We start from the raw sequence: 26,105 nt of genomic DNA, 5'->3' as shown, positions 1-26,105 counted from the left end.
TTTGCTTGGGCTTTCATAACAATCTGCCACAGACTGTATGAGCTAAACAACAGAAACATTTTTCTCACTATTCTGGAGGCTAAAAGTTTGAGATTGAGATGTTGGAAGGGCTGGTTCCTTCTGTGGGCCATGAGGGAAGGCTGTGTTCCAGTTGTTTCTCCTTGGCTTATACATTGCTATCTTCTTCTTGTGTCTTTGTATTATTTTCCCTCTATACATGTGTGTATCCAAATTTTCTAATCTTATAAAGACACCTATCATATTGAATTAGAGTCCATCCTAATGCCTCATTTTAACTTAAATACCTCTTTAAAGATTCTATCTCCAAATATGGTCACATTAGGAGTACTGGGGGGTTAGTGCTTTAACATATTAATTTTGTGGGTGGACAAGATCCAACTAATAATACCCAGCTTTTGACATGGTGAGAAATGAATATTTTCATACCCTGGAAGTCTAAGTTACTACAAGCTTTAAAAATAATAATTTGGAAATTTGCATCAAGAATATTATAATGCGCTCACTTTGGCCATACAATTTTATTGCTAATAATTTGTACTAGAAAAATTTAGTAACAAGATGTCATTGCTGTATAATTCATATTGGCAAAAATGGAAATAAAATCAGTGTCTAAAATATGGATTTTTTTTTCAAAATTATGACCTGTCCACACAATAGGATAATTTATGAGCATTAAATTGAAAATGAGTATTCAGTGATACAGACTGATGTGGGCAGTATCTAGGTAAAGGGGAAATATGTTAAGAGTGGTATTTACTTTTGATAGTATAAATATAATTCAAGTGAGGTGTACATAAATGCAAACTCATGAAATGTCACAGAAAGATTTACAGAAAATATAACATGAGAAGACATACTTTTAAGGAATTGTCTTGATTATATAGGATAAGTGGAAGTTATGAATGCCTTTGAATTTGAAGACTGCAACAATAAGAATCTCTGACAACTGGGTGGGGGGCATCATACTTGTTCTGCAAATGAGACTAGCCACATAGATATCTCTGAGAATTTGGAAGTAAGGGCTGTAGCCTTTGAGACTTCTTCACAAAGATGGGCAAAAAAGATATCCTATTGTTGCTTTATTTGTGACTTTTCTGATAACCAGTGAAAGAAGTACCTCTTCATATAACTACTGGCATTTTGTTGCCCATCTGTGTTAATTGCTTCTTTATATCCACAGCCAAATTCTTTTTGATTCCCCGTTATTTCTTATAACCTAAATAATAATCTCTTGTATTTATTAATTCTTTGAGGTTCTCAACAGTCAGTTATTACTATTTTTCATCTGGGGTCTTTGAGCAGAATTTCCTAATTCTTAATTAATCAAATCTGCATTTGATATGTTTCTAAATCTTTACTTATGTAGCAATACAGAAAAACATTTTTTTGAGGAGAGCAACATTTTATTGTTTATTTGAAAACTGTATCTGAAATGTAGTTTTTGTCATTGCATGCAACAACGTGAGCCAGAAAGAAGGCATGGTAGCCATACCATTCTACTCTACGTAAAATGGACCCTTATAAAATGAATAAAATGACTTGAACATGCTGTGAGAGTGTGGAAAAACTCAGACTTGGGCAACGCAGCCTGTTACATCTAATGTCATAGAGGACTTCTCTGTCATTCTAATATCCTGATTTGTTCTTCCTTATTTTCATCTTTTGAGTTCTTTGCTCTTTTGGACATGTTATAGAACTCCTCAGGGAAGGATATAACAAGATTATAAACTTTGTTTTAGTTGATAACTACAGAGATACTAATATATATAATTCATGTTCTTTCATATTACTGTAGGTGTTCCTTACTCTAAAGAGACAGACTTGCTATCCTCAGATTACCTCTTCCTTTGTCAGAGCCATTTGTCCTAGAGTCTCACCCAAGTCTATTAATAGAAAAATTCAAAATTATACTTTTTCTCTGTATCTCCTAATCAAAACTCTTGAATTCCCAGAACTCTCTATTGAAAAAGTAATGTAATAAAATAATTTTATGATGTTATTTTAGACTAACAGAAGATTAATATTTTAGTACTCTTAAGGTAATTTATATTTATGTTGAACTTATAATTGACAGATTAATTTGAGTAAACATCTTTTAAAAGAAAAAAAGCATTTTGTGAAATCATGAAACCTAAATTGTTTTTATTTAAATAACACTTAAATATGCACAGACATGACCTGGACATAAAGTTTTACTGCTGAGCTTCAAATTTAACTTATACATTAAATATAAGCCAAACTGCAAACCAATGGAAATTTAAATTTAAAATATTATTAAATTACTTAATAAATAATTTAGTTTTCTAGAAATTAAGTTAATGCCCACAATATGGGCAACTGTGCTTCTGCATCATAGGCTCTTGGGTTTGGTTATAACAATAGTGTTCAATAGTATTATTTATGATTGTGGAATCATATCTCCCATCACTTTCCTGAATGTGAACTTCTATAATATCTGTTTGTACTATTTGCTATGTGTTCATTAATTCATTCTCTCTTCTTTTGATTAGCCCATAGCAAGTATAATTGTATAACTTGGCATCAATGTAATTGTAGATAAAGACATAGAGTTATTAAAATTTCTTACCAGTACTTGATGATTATTGAGATAATCTAGGTGGCATGTATATTACTTTTTAAATTGTCAATATAAAAACATAAAAAATTCTCTCAAAGAGCTGGAAGACCTCTATAAATATATTTGCTGGTTTGTAGAATCAGTGACTAACTAAATCACAAAGCACATTTTCCTTACTCTGGAGGTATAGATTAATGGTGGGTCAGACGTTAGACAAAGGTCCCCTCTTCTCCAATTTGCTTGGGATTCATAGAAGATGAATAAAAATATTGAGATACTGATATAAAATGTCAATTTCTTATTCAGCTGAGAAACAAACACTCAAATTGGCCTTTTTTGCCAAATACAATTTATGAACAAGAGACATTTCTACATTAGAAGATTTGCATTTTTAAAAATTGCATAATCTTTCTAGAAAAGACATCTGGCATTCTCACACTCTGTCTCTGTCTCTGTGTGTGTGTGTGTCTTTCTCTGTTTTCATATGTCTATATGGATTTATATATTTTTCAATGTTTATATTTTCTTATTTCACCAAAGCACAGTGAAAAATTTGTCACAGATTAGCATTAGTCTTTGAGACCTATTAATAGACATATTATTCTTCTACCTGTATTTAACTTACACATATTTTAAGGAAATTATTGTAATTCAGGACCATGGAAGACTGTATAACTTAATCACCCCATCGTCAGTCATAAGAAGGTTTGGACACAAGTATCCAAAAATCAATACATTCTTCATTTCTCAAATCTCTAGGACAAATATGAACCAAAACTACCATATTTACTCATTGAACATAGCAGTTGTTTTGGAGGTTGTGGGGCTAAATGCGTAGAAACACACAGTAGCAAAAAAAAAGATTGTTTAAGAAAAATTTAAGTATTTCTTATTCCCATATTGTATCTGCTGCTTTTCAGAGACCATCCAGGTCTAATGACTAGTGAGTCTGGCCCCTCTTTGGACTCAGACGCAAATCCTTGACAATGTCATTCTTTATGTTCTGTGTATAATCTTCCTGATTCCACTAGAAATATTCGGCAGGCTGTACCCTGTTTTTATATCATGGTAACATTCCCCAAGGGAAGAATGGGGCAACAATTGGAGTAAAAAAGAGAGATAGTAAATGTCAGTGAGGCCAAAAAGGGGCAGCATCACCATTTTTTGGATGATCAAAAGTATAATTCACCTCAATTTTTAGTACAAGTCATGATTTTTATGAAAACAAGTGATGATCATTTTTAATATTTTATTGGTCGCATTTTCTACACCGAAGGTAGTTAGATAACCAAGCTGATGTTTTATTTTCAGTGAATAAATATTATACACATTTTCCCCTTTATTTAATTTTTGAATAAATATTAATCTGAACTTTCATATAATACCTGTAAGTATATGAGCTAAGGCAGCCTGGTTAAGAAAAAATTACTTGTTTTAGACAGTAGGCAATTTTATTATCTGTTTTACAGAATATACAACTGCATCTATTTTCTAGATAAAGCAATCAGGGTCTTAGCTGCTACACTAAATATATAATACAATACCTTATTTTAAAATGAAATTAAGAAATTTTATTTGCTTCCTGTGCAAAATCAGCACCATTCTTGCCTTAAAGATGTACTTAAAATATTTTAGAACTAACGCTATAAATCTGAGAACAAATACTTTAAAGGAAACATAAGGCCATTTCAGTTAAGTCAAGCTAAAAATATTCATTCTTTGTAAAGTAATATTTATGATTTATTTTGTTTCCTCTTCCACATAATAACCTTTAGGAAGCCATGATAATCCGTTTCTCTGGTAATTTTAATTCCTTCAGTAGATCTGCTCCCATTATTTTAGACATAATGTAAGTATTTGCATATTGCTATTACTCTTCTCACGTACACAAAGAAATAAACGTGAAATAACAATATACACTCCAGATTTCTATGCCACTAAAGTTCTATATGTTTGAATAAATACTTTTTAGGCGCAGTACAGATATGCAAAGATTTTCAAGCATATTTTTGTGTGAACTCTGATCTATGGATTTCTGAGTTAGGAATGAGAGTGAGAAGTTTGCCCAGTCTTTCTGGTGTCCCAAATATTGCTCTTTTGACATGTTTTCAATATTCAAAGGTTATATTCAAAGAGAAAGAAGAAGAGTGGTGGTGATTACAGAAGCTGCAAGTAAGAAAATAAATAAATATACCTTAACCTAGTATTTTTACTCGAGGAATTTATCCTACCAAGGCAGTCAGAGATATGAACAAAGGAGTCTTTGGGAGATATTCCAGCTTTACTTACACTTGCAAATAATTAGAACAATGTATAATGTGTGTAAATAGCCATGAGGAATTTAAAAAATTATAACATCTATGTTAGAATACTAAAAATAATCGTGTGTAAGTGTATAGTTAGGCATTTATAACTGAAAAAAAAGCAGAGACAAAGTGGTTTGGGTAATGGATGCTAAGAGACATGGAGAGAAACCCAGAGACACAGAGAATATCAAACTTGTTCAGAAAGAAATGTTAACAATAGTCATTCCTCTGTGTGGTGGAATTATGTATGACTTTTCTTTTTCCTTTTTGCTCTCTGTATTATGTTTAGGAATGTAGATAATCCTTTAAAAATTCTCTTATAGAGAAAGATAGGTAACTGCTATCAGTTAGCCACATAGATCAACTACAATAAACTTGATGTATTGCCACCATCAAACATTTGCTGAGAGCTCTTAATATGTAACACATTTAACTAGATGTTCATAATTGCTCAATCTTTGTGTTTCTGTACTTGAATACCTAATGAAAGAGAAATCAGGACATAACATGGAATGGCATATTTTATTTTTGTCTCTGCCTCCCTCCCTCTCTCTCTCTACCCCTCCCTCTCTCTCTCTCACACACACATGCACACACACACACACACACACACACACAGGGCTAAATGATCATTCCTCTAAATAAAAATATCTTACAATAAACTACCATTTTAAATGTAAACTTAGGACAAATGTGAAAACTCTACCAAGAAGCTACTGTTAGTGTCCAGTTAATTGATCTCTGACAAACATATGGCTAAGGTAACTTATAGAGAAGATACAGCAATTGAACCCAGTTTGATCATGCTGACTGAAATCATTAGGTTACCACCCTATGGTTTTAGCAGGCTGAATGCTGAAATCCTTTAAATTGAATGAAGCAAGTTTATTCTGAATAATCCAAATAGAAATCGTCTATTTTTACAAACACTAAAAGTAGAGTTGATCTCAGAAGTTTTGTTAAAAGAGGCTGAATTCATCTTGAGTGTACAGCATTTATATTCCAAATCATACCCTCATTTAAAATTGTCTTCTTCTATAAAGTAAAGCCATTCTTAATTATAGTATGGCTTTGTTTTCCCAAATTGTGTAAATTCCTGAATTGCAATGGCTCATCAAGCATTTTCTGTAAAAGGATAGATAGTAAATGTTTTAGGCTTTGTAGGCCATATGGTCTCTACTGCAATTATTCAACTTGCCACAGCAGCACAGAAGCACCATAGATAATATATGAGTATCTGTCTATACAGTCATGCTCAGTATTACATACATGAGTGTGGACTGCATTCCAATAAAATTTTATTGATAAAGTGGACAGCAAGCTAAATTTGACCTGTGGGCTAAAGATTGCAAACCCAATCTAGATACTTGATTTAATTATCTACCTTAGGACATTTGCTTTTATTTAGTTTTGTAATAATAGTACAGGTGCCTAAATAAACAACTGGTGGGAGGTTATGAACATTAAAGAGCAAAATCAAGAGTTACACAGTTTTATATAAATATCGATGTTCATTCAAAATCCTTCTTAATTTGACAGAGATTAGAATAATGAATTAGCCATAATTTGCTGAAGACTTTGATCCATCCTCAAGCCAATCTCAACACATTTACTGTGTAGTCTGAAAGAAGGTTGTTTAATTTTTATCATGTGTCAGAGGTATTATCTCATTTGTAATCTTTACACCAGTGCTGGCATATATATTTTTATTGTTCTCATCTAAATTGAGATTCATCAAAGTTAAGTAATTCATAAAATGGAAAAGAAAATATTGGATCTACACTATAAATAAATGCTTTTCATTGTGGTTGTATTGGAGAGTCAGTTCTTGAATTAAATCTGTGGGCCCTCTGACTTTGGTACATGTAATTTACAGTTTTATACAGTTGGACAAATAATAGTAAGTTGGAATACGTCACACATTACTTTAATTAATGGAGTGTTAAAAACCTTTTGCTCTTCAGACCATTGTATTAGTCAGGGTTCTCTTAGAGGGACAGAACTAATCGGATATATATACATATATATGTGTGTGTGTATATATATATCCTATTATGATATATATATCCTATATATATATATCCTCTTATCCTATATCCTCCCTCTATATATCCTATTAGTTCTATATCCTATATGTATATATATATATCCTATTAGTTCTGTCCTTCTAAGAGAACCCTGACTAATACTACGGTCTAAAGAGCAAAAGGTTTTTAACACTTCATTAATTAATATAATATATACATACATATATATCCACACATATATAATATATATATCAAAGGAGTTTATTAAGTATTAACTTACATGATCGCAAGGTCTCACAATAGGCTGTCTACAAGCCAAGGGGCAAGGAGAGCCAGTCCAAGTCCCAAAACTGAAGAAGTTGGAGTCTGATGTTCGAGGGCAGGCAGCATCCAGCATGCGTGAAAGATGTAGACTGAGAGGCTGGGCCTGTCTCTCTCTCCTTTTCACCTTTTTCTGCCTGCTTTATATTCACTGGAAGCTGATTAAATTGTGTCCACCAAATTAAGGTTGGATCTGCCTTTCCCAGCCCACTGACTCATATGTTAATCTCTTTTGGCAACACCCACACAGACACACCCGGGATTAATACTTTGTATCCCTCAATCCAATCAAGTTGACACTCAGTATTAACCATCAAAACCCTGTTTATTATTAAATAATCAAAACTGGAACTTGTCTGGCTAACTCATTCATTAGCTGATGTCTGCAAGTTACTTTGTGAACAACTTGCACTGCAAGTTTATTCTTCTAAAATATTCATATATTTCACATGTATGTAAGAATGTTATTTGAGCTAAGAATAACAGGTTTCTCTTCTTAGAAAAACTATTAAGCTGAATTTCATAAAATAAATTAGTAATATCTATGTGGTGTTTCTAAACTTTTTGGATTGGGGATGTTTGCCATTCTAAAGCCTTTACTCAGCTCTCTTCCCAAGTAAACTAGCTAGAAAATGCAAATGGCATGAAACCTAAATGTTAGAATGAGTGTGCGCTTATTCTGCTTCATTAACAGCATAGCAGAACTGTATTTCTGTGAAATTCTGTTTTAATTAAGTTTTAGTAAACATCTCCTGGAAAAGCTAAATGCCATTGATAACATTTCTGTTTTTAGTAAATGCAATATACTGAGCTCTTATATCAGCCTTGACTCTTATTTATTTATTCAACATGATTACCAAGTCCCTTATCTCAGCTAGGCACTATGTATTAATCTATTTTCACATAATAACATGGTAAGTTCAATAACAGAAATTTTGAAAGGATGAAACAGAAGGCAGAAAGAAGACTTTAATTTAGACTGGGGTATCAGGGACAGATTTCTAGATGAAGTGCTGCCAGAGTTCTCTGAATCAATGAGTATATTGGCTAGGTGTGATAAGAAGTGATAAATTAGGAAAGGCAATAGCAAAGGGAGCAGAATGAGCCAGAGTTTAGCAAGAGTTTCCACTCATTCCCTGAGAAAAGAAATGTGGGCCCTGAGGAAGGGTCTCTGGGAAATGGTACATTTAGGGATAGAACTGTTGGGTGGGATAACAAGGTGGGGTGACGATTCTGTAATAGCCACAAAGATAGACCGAGGTTCTGGTGGCAAAATGGACAGGATGTTGAAAGGAACGTCTTTTCTTTTGTCAGGAGTGTAGGAAATTCTAGAAAAATATGAACTCCATGGTTGAGGCCATTGCTTTCTATGCAGATTACGAATGCCAGAGTTCAAGTCAGCTTCCATTGAAGAGTCAAGTAATTTTGTCCTGAAAGCAGGAAAAGCTGCGTAATGTAGCCTTCTCAATTTTTCTTTGTTATAAATATTTATAATTTACCTATTTTGTTTAAAGATATACTTTATCACTGAGACCATCTTCATGAAGAATTTCTGTTTAGTTTTCAGATGTAATACAAATTTACTGACACTAAATCTTCCTATAATGACTAAATTGGCAGGGGAGGTAAAGCAGCAAAAGATATTTAAGGTATGAATGTAATCCCATCTACAATATTTGGGTATGAATTTTGTATATGGCATTCTACATTACATTACATCTACATCTGCATTACATTACATCTACATCACACTACATCTACATTACATTACATTAATTAACGTAATCCTAATAGGAACCAAATGAGGCAGAAAAAATTATACCCACTTTACATATAAGGAAACTGAGACTTAGGTTAACTCAATTCTCTAGCCTTATATAGCTAATAGATGATTAAGCAACATTTAAACTCTTTTACCTTTTGTCGTACTTTAATATCTTAGTAGAGATAAATTCCAGAGCAATAATATGAGTCACAGAAGATTACAGGTACCTCTCTTAAAGCCACGATATAATTTATCTATGTTAATATTCGGAGGTAGAATCCTTAGAAACACTGTTTCAAGAGTCCCTAAGCTGTTCCATATATATCAATTAGAAAAATCCTACCACGTGACAGATTGGATAATTCAGAAATGAAAAAAAAATCACTGTGCCCACTGACTATTTTAGAGTAAGTTTAAAATCCCAAACAAAGTAGCAGGAAAAAAGACACACTGATGCAAACAAATCAAAACCGAAAAGGGGGATATGGTTATATTTCAGTAAAGTAGTCATTATGCAAATTGTTCATAAAATGACTTGGTTAATGTGAATTTAGTTTGTTTTGGCTAAACTGGAATCCAGCCAGGACTCAGGATAGGACTCCAGTGGATGAGCAGCTAGAGAAGAAAACAAGATTAGAAAAGGGAAGGAAGGGAACGTAGAGGACCAACGAGGATTAGGGGCCTCCTACCGACCCTATGTATTTTGTGTTCAATGGGACTGTGTTAATTTTCTGTGGCTGCTGTATCAAGTAACCATCAATGTGGTGGCTTAAACAATGGAAATGTATTCTCTCTCAGTTCTGGAGACCAGAACTTCAAAATCAGTATCACTGGGCTGAAATCAAATGTCAGCAGGGCCTCACTCCTTCCAGACACTCTAGGGGATTATTTGTTCTTGTATCTTCCTGTTTCTTCTCACTGCTGAAATTCCTCAGCTTGTGACCACATCACTTCAACAACTGTGATTGTGGTGTTCTCCTTTTCTATGTGGTCCAATCACCTCACACCTTCCTCTTAAAAGGATAAATTTGATTTTGTTTAGGATCCATCCAAATAATAGAGGATATATTTTGTCATATGGGCAACAGATTCCAGGTATTAGGTTGTGGATATCTTTTGGGGGCTGTTATTCAGCATATCACAAGGACATCGTTTAGAATACTACTTATATCTACATCTGGGTTCTCTGAGATCTAAATATCAAACACTAATTTCTCAATTAGGAAAAAGAATAGGTAGTGAAAGAATACTAATATGGTTTATTGACTGGGAAAAAAGAAAAAATTGACTGTTTTTGGAAATAACCAAGGATTCTTGGGCAAGTCAGGTACCACTAAGCTTCTCAGCTTTCAATGCTACTGCTACTTCCTTTGAGTGATGGTTTTATTCTCCAAAACATTTTCTAGATATCATAGACTGGGTTCCCTTAGAAGCCGACCTACTTACATAGTAGTTTATTTGTACTGCATGTGGATTTTTGGGAATACTTTTCCAGGAGGCTCTTGTAGGAGACTGAAGGGAGGAAATAACAAAACAAAACACTTAAAAAAAAAAACAGGGAAGAAAGTAAATTTTAAAAAGGGTATATAACTAAGTTTCACTAGAGATCTAGAAGGTGATATAGAATCTATGTCATTATGTTATCTCAAACAAAGAGTGAAGAAGTTAGGGCCAGCTCCCGTTAGTTCCTAGTGAGGACTGCTTTCATAGAGGGTTAACTATTCATCATTTTTAACCTGCTATGCATGGGCACAGAGAGGGCTCTAGTGGACAAAAAAAATATACAGGCAAAGAAGCCCAGTGTTATCAAATGGAGGATGGGCCAGTGTGCAGGGAAATAGTAATTGCTAAGCAGAGGTTGGCGCAACATTGACATTATCTACAATACTATATCTACGGCTATTGCCAGCTTTGGGTGTCACATTACTTGTACTTTCACCATCTAAGTGAAAATGGCTCGTACTCCAATTCAAATTTTAAAAATCTAAGAAAAGAGTCTATTAGAGCTGACATTTGTCAATACTTGAATAAATTCCCATGAGTTAGGGAAATGGGTTCTTGAAGAGACAACTCCATCAGGCTACATGTTCTGGACTTGGGAGAAGCAGTTTATAACTAAAGGTATATGATGTTATCAGAAGAGAACCATTTTGCTTTTGTCTGTTTTGTTTACAGGCAATAAAAAGGTCAATGTAGTGAATGGGGCCCAAAATTCAGGTAAGTTAGTCTTCATGGGTAAACCTCACAACTCACTGTGATTTATCTAGCTTAATACTAGTTTGCAGGTAGCACTTGAGCACATATAAAATGGGCTATAAGAGAAGAGTAAGATGAGGACTAGTCATGGTGTGAGGATTCTAGGAAAATAGCTGGCGTCAATTGAGTTTCAGTTAAACTGAAGTACAATCATAATTTTAGCCACATGTCTAGTTACAATGAGTAGGCAAACATGGCACTCCTGTAAACCCTTACTACAACTGAGTGAATGTGATACTGACATAGACTCACCACATACATACCATATAGTGGAGTAAGAACAGATTTGATAGTTTCAAGTACTACCACTTCTGATGAGAAAGCTTATGTTGTTCTAGTTAGGTGAAAATTATTTTAAGTCCTTGCCCATAATTTGGAGGCCTCAGTTTCTCCAGCTATAAAAACTTAGAAGAAGCAAGAATTAATATTCCCTACAACAATGAGGCTAAAGTATCATCTTTCTACTATATTTTTATTAGAGAATTATTTATAATAAGTTCAATTTCAAAACTATTGTGACCTTAACATTCATTTTAAATAGGCTGCTATGCACTCCAAAATCTGAGAAGATAGTTGTAGGTACTACAACACCCCTAATCTAGTTTTAATTATTTTGGACAGAAGGAAAAAAGGACCCGAATGAGTTTTCATTTATCCTTTTGTAACTGCACATATGCAGTCTGTATAAGGACAATTTTATAAAGTTTTGCTTTTCTGTAGAAATATTAAGATCTGCTACTTTTACATTTTATTTTCATGCTTCTAGGGTTTGCTATAGAACTTTAATGTTCATGCCTTGGTTTCACAGGATTAAATATTAAACAATATCACTAACTAGATATGGTACATTTACTTTCCAAGTAATTGGATTGTGGATGAACCTGCTGCTCTTGTTCATTAGTCTGTAACTTCATAAGACTTTAACTCTATTCTCCTTTTACAACACTGCAATTTGGAAAGTTTCCATAGAGCTGAGAGCGGCTGAAAATAGTTGGATATGGCATTACATTGCTTTTGGAATGCTGGTATCAAGTTCATCAACAAAGGTGTCATACTATCAGTGTGGAACTGTTACATATAGCATGCAAAATCATTCAAAATTTCCCACCAAAACATTCATGTTACCATTAGTAATTTATACTAGTTTTACTTTATTTTAAAAATTAGTTTCCACCTTATTGTTAAAGTGATATATGTTTATTGCAGAAGATGTGAAAAATTGAAGAAAATAAAATTATCTTTATTTAGAGATTATCATTGCTAATAGTCTCTTGTTTATATGTATATTTTAATGAAGTTCTTATAATTTTATAAATATAAAATACATTCTGTATTCCTTTTAACAGTATATTATGAGCATTTTCTATACTTTAAAATTCTTCGTAAGTGTATTTTATAATAGTGCTTACTCTTTATGTTTATAGATGCACCATGATGTAATCATTCATTGCAGGACATTTGGCTTGCTTCCAACTGTTTGCTGCCATAAATAATGGCATGATAAAATCTCTGTACATTAATCTTTGTCCCCATTTCTGATAATTTCTTTAGGAGAGATTCCCAGAAATGGAATTGCTGGGTCAAAGAGAATGAATATGTTTAAGATCTTTGATATATTTCCAAATTTGCTTCCATAAGTCTTTGTGAATTTGTATAACCACCATGAGTTTATAACCAGGCCTGTCTTACTCACTAAGTTCTGTCAGATTTGTATGTTAAAAAGTGTTTTAATTAACTGCCCAATACTACTGTGATATTTGATTAAGTTACGATACCATCACTAGATGGAATAATATGCATTTCATTACAATTAAAATTATTGCAACATTAAACTTACTGATGATACACTATTAAGTAAAACACATGAGATGAAATGGACTATACTCTAGCATTGCAAATATTCAAGTAGGTAGGCATATAGAAATTACTGGACAAAGATGATGACCAATAAAAATAAAACTTAGTAATAATAGATTACCTTAATAACTGACAGCTTACTGTGTAGTTAATGTACAACAGTATAATGTTAAGTGCTTAAAATTCATGATTATATTCTATTTTATAATAGCTATATGAAGGGAGTCCTGATGCTCGAAGATTCTATACAAAGGTCTCATAATCATACAGGATTTCAGTATGGTTCTGGAATTTATACCCAGGTTGCTGGCTTCAACCTCAATTAGGGTAGTAAACTTTCATTTAAATCTCTTAAACATTTTTCTGTTTTCTAAACCTTGTAAAATGCTGCTGAATTTTCTTTATAGCAGAGTAATGTAAAATGGTACATTTAAGAGAAACCACAATGAAAAAGCTTCTTATAATATCTTAGAAAAGAAAGAAGTCACTAAAAACCAAATAAAGGAACTACATATACATTAAACTAAATAGAAAATATAATATTTGGAAAAACGTGAAATAATAATATTTGACCTAACCATTACTCAGTGAAATCCAAGCAAAGCAATAAAATAGCATTCGTTCAAGCTAATCTGAGGATGAAGAATCACTAAACTTTGCCCAGGATTCACTCTTCATATTTTATTATTAAGACAGTAGCATAAATAATTATTTTAATATAACAAATTCTCTATCCTTATTGCTATAAGTAAAGATGCATTATAGTAAATAACTAGGCCAATTCTTAATATAATTCAGGAATTTGTTTTCTTAAATATTCAGTACATTTAACATTTTCTATTGAAATGATAAAAATTATTCTTTAATTCATTCAAAAGTTATTTACTGGCTGTTTACCAGGTGCTAGGCATTATTGCTGAAGCTCTGGATATATGACCACATTTAATGAACAAAATTACCTGCCCTCAGCTATCTTATATTCTAATATGAAATACAGAAAATAAGCACAATAAATATGCAAATGTGAAATATATGCACATATGTGTATATATAGCATGCAAAGTTTCAATTGAGGGCAATAGAGGGCATAGCTTATGTTCTCTTCTTTACTCTGAAATTCAAAGAGCCAATCTTCCTGCAACTCACCAATCCAAATCACCAAAGCCAGTCTTGCCTATCGTATTCTATTTTGCTATATGCTAACAATAAGGCATAGAAGAGCAATATAACAAATAGGAGAGGAAATATTGAACTTTGAGATAAAATAGCTAAAGAAAGCATAACTGAGAAAGTGATCTGAAAGTATATAGCTCAAAGAAGTAAGTAAGTGCTCTATAAGAAAATATGTGGGTAGAGCGTTTAGGACAGGGGCAAGTAATCCCTGAAAAGACCCTATGATGGAGGATTATTGGATTGCTCAAAGAAGGGCAGAAAGACTGGTGTAAGTGCAACAGCATAATTAGGGGAGGGGAACAGGAAATCAGAGAAGTAATGAGGTCCACAAGTGATTTTGGAATCAATGACCATATACCCCATGTTTAAGCCTATTTTTTTGGTGTGATTGTCAATAACACTATTTTCACTCTCAAGTGTTCCAGTTTGGATGATATGTCTCCATGACTGTATTAATGGAGTTTGACATTTATCTTTTATTTATTTATTTATTTATTATTATTATACTTTAAGTTTTAGGGTACATGTGCACAATGTGCAGGTTAGTTACATATGTATACATGTGCCATGCTGGTGCGCTGCACCCACTAACTCGTCATCTAGCATTAGTTATATCTCCCAATGTTATCCCTCCCCTCTCCCCCCACCCCACAACAGTCCCCAGAGTGTGATGTTCCCCTTCCTGTGTCCATGTGTTCTCATTGTTCAATTCCCACCTATGAGTGAGAATATGCGGTGTTTAGTTTTTTGTTCTTGCGATAGTTTACTGAGAATGATGATTTCCAGTTTCATCCATGTCCCTACAAAGGACATGAACTCATCATTTTTTATGGCTGCATAGTATTCCATGGTGTATATGTGCCACATTTTCTTAATCCAGTCTATCATTGTTGGACATTTGTGTTGGTTCCAAGTCTTTGCTATTGTGAATAATGCCACAATTAACATACGTGTGCATTGTGTCTTTATAGCAGCATGATTTATAGTCCTTTGGGTATATACCCAGTAATGGGATGGCTGGGTCAAATGGTATTTCTAGTTCTAGATCCCTGAGGAATCGCCACACTGACTTCCACAATGGGTGAACTAGTTTACAGTCCCACCAACAGTGTAAAAGTGTTCCTATTTCTCCACATCCTCTCCAGCACCTGTTGTTTCCTGACTTTTTAATGATTGCCATTCTAACTGGTGTGAGATGGTATCTCATTGTGGTTTTGATTTGCATTTCTCTGATGGCCAGTGATGATGAGCATTTTTTCATGTGTTTTTCGGCTGCATAAATGTCTTCTTTTGAGAAGTGTCTGTTCATGTCCTTCGCTCACTTTTTGATGGGGTTGTTTGTTTTTTTCTTGTAAATTTGTTTGAGTTCACTGTAGATTCTGGATATTAGCCCTTTGTCAGATGAGTGGGTTGTGAAAATTTTCTCCCATTTATCTTAATAGGGTTTGCCATTGGATGGTTTGAGCAGACGGATGACATGGTCTGTCATATGCTTTACCTGAGTAAGTCTGATGTCTTTGTTCAGAGTAGACTGAAGAAGGGCAAGAGATGAAATAGAAAGACTGTTTAGGAAGCTACTGAAATAATCCAAGGAAGATGGCCTGAACCAAAGGGATAGAGGTGGGGGTGGTGGCAAGAGGTTAAATTCTAGATTTACTTAGAAAGAGGAGTAGAACATGTATGCTGGCAAATTAGTCATGAAAGGAGAATCCAGGATTATACTAAGGTATGTTTTAGTAAACTTTTTTTGAAATAATTTTAGATTTACTGAAAGCTTTACAGATTTACAGAAAGCTTTCAAAAATAATAAAAAGAATTCCAATATACTCTTTATTTGGACTCACCAAATACTAAACTTTTATCATATTTGTTCTATCAATCTCTTTATATATAGGTGTGTATGTGTGTGTAATTAATATCACTATTTGTATTAATAACTATCTGAGAGGAAGCTGCAGACAGTTATTCCTATACATATTGAATTTGAACAATATGTGTTTTCTGAAAGAAAAAAGAAATCATGTTACCATACCACAACATAATTATATAATCAAAACAGGACATTCAACTTGATATGATGGTATTATCTTACCTACAGAAATTATTATTTAAATTTATCCAAAGGTAACACTATGTTTTGAAGCATTTTTTAAGAGGCTGCCCAGATTATATCACATTTAGTTGTCATGCATTTTTCATCATTTAAAATTTGGAATAATTCCTGTCTCATCCTTTGTCTTTCATGAACTTGCTGTTTTAAGAGTACAGGTTAGTTATTTTGTGGAATGTACCCCAAGTTGGATTTTTATAATATTTTATCTTGTTTACATTGTAAGTGATATTACTAGCAGTAACAAATCTGTATGGGCCTTCTGCACCCTCAGTTCTTCCTCCTCAGAGAAAGAATTCGACCGAGGGGCATAAGGCAGAAGGAGAGACCAAGGCACCATTTAGAGCAGGAGTGAAAGCTTATTAAGAAAGTTTTAGAGCAGGATTCTGAAGTACACTTGGAAGAGGGCCAAGTGGGTGACTTGAGAGGTTCAAGTAAACATTTTGACCTTTGACTTAGGGTTTTATATTTTGGCTTACTTCTGGGGCCTTGTGTTCCTTCTGCTGACTCTTCCCTTGGGGTGGGCTGTCCACATGCACAGTGGCCTGCTAGACTTTGGCACGGGCGCACGCGCAGTGTGTTTACTGGCATTGTACACATGTCCACTTGAGGTATTTTTCCCTTATCAGTACAGTGTTCCTAGAGGAAGGTCATCAGCCATTCTGCCTCTTAGTGCACATGCCTGAGTCCACTTGCTCAACTCCTGAGATCTTACCGGGAAGCTGCTGATCACCAGTTTCAGGTGCTTTTGTCTCTTGAAAGACTTCCTTTCCCTGGTGCTGGCTGTGGCCAATTACTATTATTCCTTTAGAGAGACAGTGTAACAACTGCCTAACCATCACCTGATGGTTGCCTGACATTCCTGGTGGTGGTGGCGGCGGGGGGGGGGGGCGTTGGGGGGGCGTTGGGGGGGCACTTCCTGCCCTGCTCATGTCTGCCTAGTAACCTACTATAACAACATTGTGTTATTCTCAGTACTTCCTGTCAGGATGTCATGATGTCAAGTTGTCCCATTGCTGATTATGTTAACCTTGGCCACTGGGTTAAGATGGTATCTGCCAAATTTTCAATTGTAAAGTTAAAACTTAAATTTTGTCCTTAAGTATCTTCTTTCCCAATTATTTTGGCATCCATTGATTAGCTTTGCCTTAATTGATTATTACTAGTATGGCTTTCAAATGATTTTATAATTCTGTCAATCTTTTTACATCCATTAGGGTGCATTGCATTGTAAGGAAAAGCTTTTTAGTCTTTTCCACGTTTTTATTCATCTACAGCACTATGAATGCATAGACTTACATTCTAATAAAAAAGGTATAAAGATCTACGTTCTTTTTTTTGTTCACATAATTTCTGATTTGGCCAGTGAAAACTCCTTCAAAATGTGTCCTTTTGACTAATCCCCAACATTCTTTAACACTTCTTTACACTTTGAGAATACAAGATGTTACAAGTTTCACAATGTAATTTCCCAGGCAGTGACCATGGGTAGACGCGCACACACACACACACACACACACACACACACACACACACACACAGTCACACTGTCAACAAATATTGGAAGCCATTGAATTTTAGAATCAAAATAGAGAGGGGTATGGTTACCTTGGAGATTGAACATGATGCACATGAATAGGCTGCTTTATATACATAGAGACTGAAATGGCATCCCTCAGTATATGTGAAAAGAGAAAAAATGCAGTCATTGATTTGGATGTTTGGGGTCTCATTCTGCCAAACGTCTGGCTCTTTGGAGGCACACTTGGAGGCTTGTGCCAAACAAAAAGTGCTGCTTGCTTCATTCATCTCTGGTTCCAGGCCAAGAAAGACAGATTTGAGTCTCAAAATCATAATCAGGAGCTGTGTTTTATGTGTTTTTTTCTTTCTTTGGCATGAAGATTTTCTCATCACTCTCTGCTCTTCTTTAAGTCCTTTCTCTGTTCCCCCAAACGCTTCCCTTTAAAAGATTCTCAGAACTCTTGAGGCCCAACTCTGATATGTGGCTTCCTATTTTACATAAGCGACTTTTGAACAGATGCTATTTCTAAGTGGGGAAGGAAACATACTGGCATATTATTTTTGAGGGAAAAGTTAAAGATTATTAATATTGCTAACTATATTTAGCAAAAAGTATTACTTTCTTCTATAGGTTTGCTAACTCGTTTTTGCTATTCTAGGACCAGCAACTATGAACACATTATCTTACTTTCTATGAACAACAGAAAAAAAAGCAAACACAGTTTGACTTGTAAGTCATTGCAAAGAAACAGACCATATGTTTCACATTGTGCCAAAGCTTCACAATGAAAAATTTTAAGACAGAATGAAAATGTAGATGAAAAAGAAAGGAAGGAAGAAGTGGAAGGAGAGAGGGAGGTAGGTAAGAAGAAAGGAGGAAAGGGAGAGTTCATTCATTTTCTCTTCCTGAATGATAACTAATAACAAATAGTCTTTTCAAGTCATGTCTTCATCTTTACTTTTCTTCCTTTAAATATGATATATTTCTACCCCCTTCTTATTTCTTGCAGTAAATCCATGAATAAAAAAGCCATGTTGATCTGTATTAGCTCTCAATATGACATTATAATGTGACAGAAATTGGGATGATGATAGTAAAATGATATCAAAGCAGATGACCCAAACTAAAGTTATTTTTTCTATCTCCAGTTTGATAAATGAATAAAAAGCACTGCAAGTTTATCTCCAAATTTTCCTTAAAATTAAAATACATAATTCTTGACTGTGTTTAAGCAATACACTTCTGATTTATTTACACTACTTTATGTTAAAATGATTTTTACTCTCCTTGACAAATTTAAGAAGTATTTTGTCTCAACAAGTCACTTTAAGATTTTGTCAGAAGGCTACAATCCAAGTCATAACTTAAAACCTGTAATTTTCAGGCATTCAGTTAGGTTCAAACCATTTAGAAAGTTGTTATTTTTTTCCCCTACATCACACAGGTGATTACAACATTTGCCATAAGGGGTGATTACCAGTGGTTTTAAACAGGTTGAAATAACAAAAAAATTAAAAAATTAAGGTCAAAATAAATTGGAGCAGAAAATAATTTATACTTTTGTAACCAAAATGTTTCTTTCTTAGCAATAGTAAAAATTGCTTTTTCCCTTGTTGGTTTCCTCAAAATTTTAAACTGTGATTTTTCTGTCCATCAAATCTAAATTTGAATAACTAATCACATTGTTTTTAGATTTGTGGAAGCATACTTAATTTGTAAATTCCCAAGGCATAAGAAGTTAGCTTATAGGTCACATTACTTCTGATTTTTTTAAAAGTATGTATGCCTGGAAAATAAATATTTACATTTGGACAGAAAACACATCATACTGAAACCAAGAATGAAGGATTGGAAAGGTGCATTTAGGAGCACAGACTAAAAAATAATTAGGAGTTGAATAAAGCTCCTTGTAACTTTAATGAAAAATTAATTTAAAAGGGAGCCATATTCAAGAAATATCAAGAGTGATTCCTTCAATGTTCATACACCAAAACCATCACCAGAGCAATAAATTACGCATTATAAATGATAATGCAAGTTTCTGTTGATACTTAAAAGAGATTTTTGCATTGTGATGAAACCCTGGCTAGATACAAAGTATATATATCTAAATATATACAGATGTGTGTGTGTATATACAGATGTATATGTATATGTATTTTTGTATGTTTGTATATTAATATATTCATATGCATTTTAATATATGTACTTATTTGATTATAAATACCCATATGTATACATAAGTGTGCTTATATGTATATATGTATTCATATATACATGGAAGCATGTGAATATATGCATACATATACACATAGATATGAATTTATATGAAATATTATTAATGCATATGAAAATAACCTAACAATCCTCCTGTTTCTAAAAAATGAAATCATCTCTGCTTTACACCTTAAAATCATGTCAGCATCCTAATATCACATTGTGTAATGCACAGTGATTACAATGAATAACTGTATTAATTTTTCAATCTAAAAAATATGTTTTGGCACAACCGGGAAATTAAGAAAGGATGTGCAGGACAGGTCAAATATAAAAATGATCTATTTTCTCCACTATTTGCTGATCTATTAATCTGTCATGACACTGCCTATGATATTTATGTCTGCCTGGAAACAATAAAAGTTCACTTTTTGTTTTTCCAAAAAGTTGTTATGTTATGTTGACATTTTCACCCTGGAGGAAAGCCACACTGCACTGAACATATGTTGCAAATTGCTTCATCCATGTTAAATCTGCTTAAATAAGCTACCTGCAGTGTTCAAAAATAGAATCACAGGAATATATTTTGAGCATATATATGACCGTCCAAAAGAGTTCAAATGGAAATTTAATTTAAATAAAATCCATTTAATTTGTTGATATAATTAAAAACATGTATCTAAATTTCATTCTCGACATTTTAAGTTTAGAAAAAGTTATGGGAAGAAACGGAGCTAAGTTGTTTTTTAGCCTTGTATATTTGTAAACCTGTGAGCCTGGACCATGTTGGGCCTTCAACAAATATCTGTTGCACTGAAATGTTGAAAATTTTAAAGCCTCAAATATAAAACCATCTTAAATACTATTTAAGGTATGTACTCTTTTAAGCAACATATAGATAATTTTCTTTCTGTATAATTGAGTCTGATTATTGTTGCTTAATTGGGGTAATTACTAATAAATATCAATTTAAATGTGCCATTTACTGTAAGTTTTCTCTTTATACAACCTGTTCTATATTTCTTTCCTTGTTCTTTTCTTTTTATTGCTTTTAAATTAATTGATTTAATTATCCACTTACCCCTCTTGTAGCTTATTATGTACTCATTCTTTTCCATCCATGTAAGGTTTACCCTATATATTACAATGTGGAATTTTAACCTATTACAATTTAACATAAATAAGTAATTGTAATCACTCAATAGTTAACGGGAAGATCTTACAAATACTGAACACATTTAACCTCCTCTAAACTGATGTAATAATATTGGCTTATTTTTAGTTGTGTTTTTCTGTCTGTAGTGTAATATGATAAAATGTAAAGATCTAAAATTACAAATGTATCATAGCTTCTGTTTTAGGCAGATAATCTTATTTAAATTTCATCACATAATTGCCATTTTCACAGCTCTTTATTTCTCCTTCATTTTTGACCTGGAATCTACAGTCAGTTTTCCCCTACCTGAGGCACTCCTTTTGATAATTCTATAAGTACAAGTTTGCCGGTAAAAATTTTTGCTCAGATTTTGACTTTTTGAAAATGTTTTCATTTGCCTCCTTTTTTTGAATAACACATTTTTATTGGGGTAAAACGCACATCACATAAAATTTACCCTAGTAACTATTTTTAAGTATACACTTCAGTTGTATTAATACATTCATGTTGTTGTGTGACCATCACCATCAACCATCTCCAGAACTCTTTTCATTTTACAAAAAGACTGGAAAGTTTAATCCATTTACATTTAAGCAATTACTGATAAAAGGGGTCTTGTGTCATTTTTCTGTTTATTTTGTATATGCCTTACAGTATTTTCATACCTAATTTTCTACATTATTCTTTTCTTTTGTGTCTAGATATTTTTTGGCAATGAACTGTTTTAATCCCTTTTGTCTAAATTTAATATTATTTTCTTGTGTAGGCACAATGATAATTACATGTAATGTCTCAATGTTTGATTCCAACGTGAATTTACTCTAGTTTAACTTCAAGAATATACAAAAACTCTGTTTCTATACAGCTCTGTCCCCACCAACTTTCAGTTATTGATGTTACAAAATTACATCTTTATACATTGTGTATCTAAATACATACAGTAATGATTGTCCTTCAATACACTAATCTCTTAAATTACATAGAAAAAAAGTGCAGCTACCAACTGAAGTTACAATAATTCTAATTTTTAAACTAAAAGTAGTTTTTTAAAAAACTATTGGCCTGTTACATCATGTAGAAAACAAAGGTGTAATTATAAACCAATATTAAATTAATACTTGATTTTATAACTGTCAATGTATTTATCTTTACTCACATCTATGTTTATTCATATGGCTTTAAGTTACTGTCTAAAGTCAGGGATTCAGTCCAGGTCCATTTGGTCACTGAACAGAAAGCCAATCACTGAGAGAATGAGTGTTGCCAGTGAAGAAGGCTTTAATCAACTACTTCAATCAAGGAGATGGAAAATCAATCTAAAATCAATCTGCCTGACCAACTAAAATTGAGGATTTATACAGCAGGAAATAAATTTAACCATGTGTGGGGAAAGCAGGAATCAGGGAGGGGTAAGGAAGAGAAATTGGTCAACCAGAGCAGGTAGTTGGTTAGGCAGTCATGATGAGGTGTCTAGTGCCTCATTGTCCAGATGTGGCGATCTGCTAAGTTTCTGTTCCTTCACACTGGCTGGGAGGCCTGATGGTTGGTTTCCTGAGAAAGGAACTCAGATAAGACAAATGTAACTTTATAAAGTTTTAAGATGAGGGGAGTCCATTTCTATGTTTATTTAAAAAAAACCCATAAAAATCAGTTTTATAGGACAATTGAGCTAGGTTCTCTAAGTTCCTTTCATGACAGTCTTTTAGATTTCTTGCAGGGGATGTATAATGCTAAAAAAATTCCCTCAGCTTTTGTTTATCTGGAAATATTTTCATTTCTCCCTCACCTTTGAAAAACAGTTTTGCCAAATGTAGGATTCTTGGCGGATCCCTTTATTTTTTTTTTCTTTCAGCATTTTGAATTATCAGCCCATTGACTTCTGGCCTGCAAAAATTCTGATGAGAAATCTGTTGACAATCTTGTTGATGGTCCCTTGTTATGTGATGAGCCACTATTGACTTGCTCCTTCAAATATTCTCTCTCTGTCTTTGTCTTTTGATAATTTGATTACAATGCCTTGGTATTGGTTTGTTTGAATTCATCATCTTGGAGTTCACTGAGTCTCTTGGATGATTATATTCATCTTTCACCAACTTTGGGAAGTTTTTGTCTATTATTTCTTTAACTAGTTCTTCTGTTCCTTTTTCTGTATTTTTTCTTCTGGGAATCCCAGAATGTGTATGTTGGTCTGCTTGATGGTGTCCTACAGGCACCTTAGATTCTGTTCACTTTTCTTCAATCATTTTTGTTCTTTATACTCCTTAATTTCAATTGTCTTATATTCAAGTTCACTAATTCTTCTGTCTGCCTAAATATGCCTTTGAATTCCTTTAGGGAGTATTTCATTTCAGTTATTGCACTTTTCAGCTCCAGAAATTTTTGGTTGCTTTTTAAGTTTCTTATTTCTTTATTTATATTTACATTTTGTAAGTGTACATTTACAAATGTATGAACAAATTTATATTTGTTCCTACACTGTTTTCTTGACTTTCTCCACAGGGTCTTTCAGTTTTTAAGGATGTCTTAAACTACATCTTTAAGACAGTAGTTCTGTATAATAGTATTTGTCTAGAAGACCACCACATGGCCTTTCTTAGAGAAAGTTTTGTGTCCAGAATTGATGGGTTCTTGGTCTTGCTGACTTCAAGAATGAAGCCACGGACTCTCGCAGTGAGTGTTACAGTTCTTAAAGATGGTGCATCCGGAGTTTGTTCCTTCTGATGTTCAGACATGTCCAGAGTTTCTTCCTTCTGGTGGGATCGTGGTCTCATTGACTTCAGGAGTGAAGCTGTAGACCTTCGCAGTGAGTGTTACAGTTCATAAAGATGGCACGTCTGGAGTTGTAGATTCCTCCCGGTGGGTTCGTGGTCTCGCTGACTTCAGGAGTGAAGCTGCAGACCTTCACGGTGCATGTTACAGCTCTTAAAGGCAGTGCGTCTGGAGTTGTTTGTTCCTCCCAGCGGGTTGGTGGTCTTGCTGACTTCAGGAGTGAAGCTGCAGACCTTTGTGGTGAGTGTTACAGCTCATAAAGGTGGCTCAGACCCAAAGAGTGAGCAGCAGCAAGATTTATTGTGAAGGGCAAAAGAACAAGGCTTCCACAGTGTGGAAGTGGACCCAAGCAGGTTGCTGCTGCTGGCTTGGGTGGCCTGCTTTTATTCCCTTATTTGGCCCCACCCATATCCTGCTGATTGGTCCATTTTACAGAGTGCTGATTGGTCCATTCTACAGAGTGCCGATTGGTCCGTTTTACAGAGTACTGATTGGTCTGTTTTACAGAGTGCTGATTGGTGCATTTACAATCCTTTAGCTAGACAGAAAAGTTCTCCAGGTCCCCACCAGATTAGCTAGACACAGAGTGCTGATTGGTGTGTTTACAAACCTTTAGCTAGACACAGAGTGCTGATCGGTGCTTTTACAATCCTTTAGCTAGACAGAACATTTCTCCAATCCCCACCTGATTAGCTCGACACAGAGCGCTGATTGGTGCATTTACAGTCCTTTAGCTAGACAGAAAAGTCCTCCAAGTCCCCACCCAATTAGCTAGACACACAGTGCTGATTGGTGCATTTACAACCCTTTGTCTTAGCTAGACAGAAAAGTTCTCCAAGTCCCCACATGACCCAGAAGCCCAGCCAGCTTCACCTCTCAATTCCCCCTCTAAACACGACACCCCAACTGCTGTTGGGAATTTGGCCGATGACCGCTCTAGTTACTTCCTGCTGGATAGGGGCAAAGAAGGGGCCCTGCAGTTGTAGTGTCCTCCAGAGGGGAACTCTTTAGACCAGTGGAAGGGCCAGTGGGTCAGTCCAGGGGCTGTCAGTAGAAGTTGTTAGTTGAACTCATTTGGGGTTCCATTTGTAAGACCACCTGTAGCTTGATGGCCTCGATTCTAGAGGAAACAAATTTGACAAGAAGGTTAAAAATACAGGGCCCAAAGGTGAGTAACAGCAAGATGGCTGCCATGGTACCTAGAAAGGGGAAAAGCCATGTTGCCCAACTCCAGAGGTTGGTATAAGAGTTTGAAAGGCATTGTCTGATTTCAGAAGCCTTTTCCTGTAAATGCTGGGCGGCTTCTCCTACTATCCCTGACTGGTTAGTGTGAAAACAACACTCTTCCCCTAAGAAGGTGCAGAGTCCTCCTTTCTCAGCAGTGAGGAGGTCTAGGCCTCGGCGGTTTTGGAGAGTCACTGCTGCCAGAGTCTATTTGGGATTGTAAAGTAAGGATAGATTTCGTTATTTCCTACAAATTGTCTGAGAAATCCTTTGAGAGTGTGTGGTAGTAGGATAATGAAGTAGATAAACCAGCAATCTTATTACCAGTTGTATACCCAAAGGAATATAAATGGTTCTACCATAAAGATACATGAGTGCATATGTTCATCAAAGCACTATTCACAATAGCAAAGCCATAGAATCAAGCTACTTGCTCATCAGTGGTGGAGTGGGTAAAGAAAATGTGGTACATATATACTATGGAATACTGTGCAGCCATAAAAAAACAAAATCATATTCTTTGCAGCAACATGGATGTAGCTGGAGGTCATTATCTTAAATGAATTAACACAGAAACAGAAAATCAAATACAGCATGTTTTCACTTATAAGTGGGAGCTAATCATTGGGCAATGTGGACGTAAAGCTGGCAGTGATAGAAGCTGGGGACTTCTAGAGGGGGGAGAGAGAAAGGAGGGCAAGGGTTGAAAAACTAACTCTCGGGTACTATGCTCACTAACTGGGTGATGAAACCATTTGTACACCAAACTCCCGTGACACACAATTTACCCAAGTGACAAACCT

The 26,105-nt window shown here is 34.4% G+C and overlaps 1 annotated feature.

Moving 5' to 3' along the window:
- Nucleotides 23,571-24,770: an enhancer, noted in NCBI's record as "BRD4-independent group 4 enhancer chr9:25247658-25248857 (GRCh37/hg19 assembly coordinates)". NCBI's record gives its function as "activates an origin of replication core promoter dependent on BRD2, P300/CBP, MED14 and CDK7 cofactors, and independent of BRD4, by STARR-seq in HCT116 cells {active_cell/tissue: HCT116}" and the evidence as "EXISTENCE:reporter gene assay evidence [ECO:0000049][PMID:35650434]".

Source organism: Homo sapiens, chromosome 9 (assembly GCF_000001405.40).
Source record: "Homo sapiens chromosome 9, GRCh38.p14 Primary Assembly".
In the NCBI taxonomy this organism is placed as follows: Eukaryota; Metazoa; Chordata; class Mammalia; order Primates; family Hominidae; genus Homo; species Homo sapiens.
This window is presented reverse-complemented; position numbering and strand designations above follow the sequence as displayed.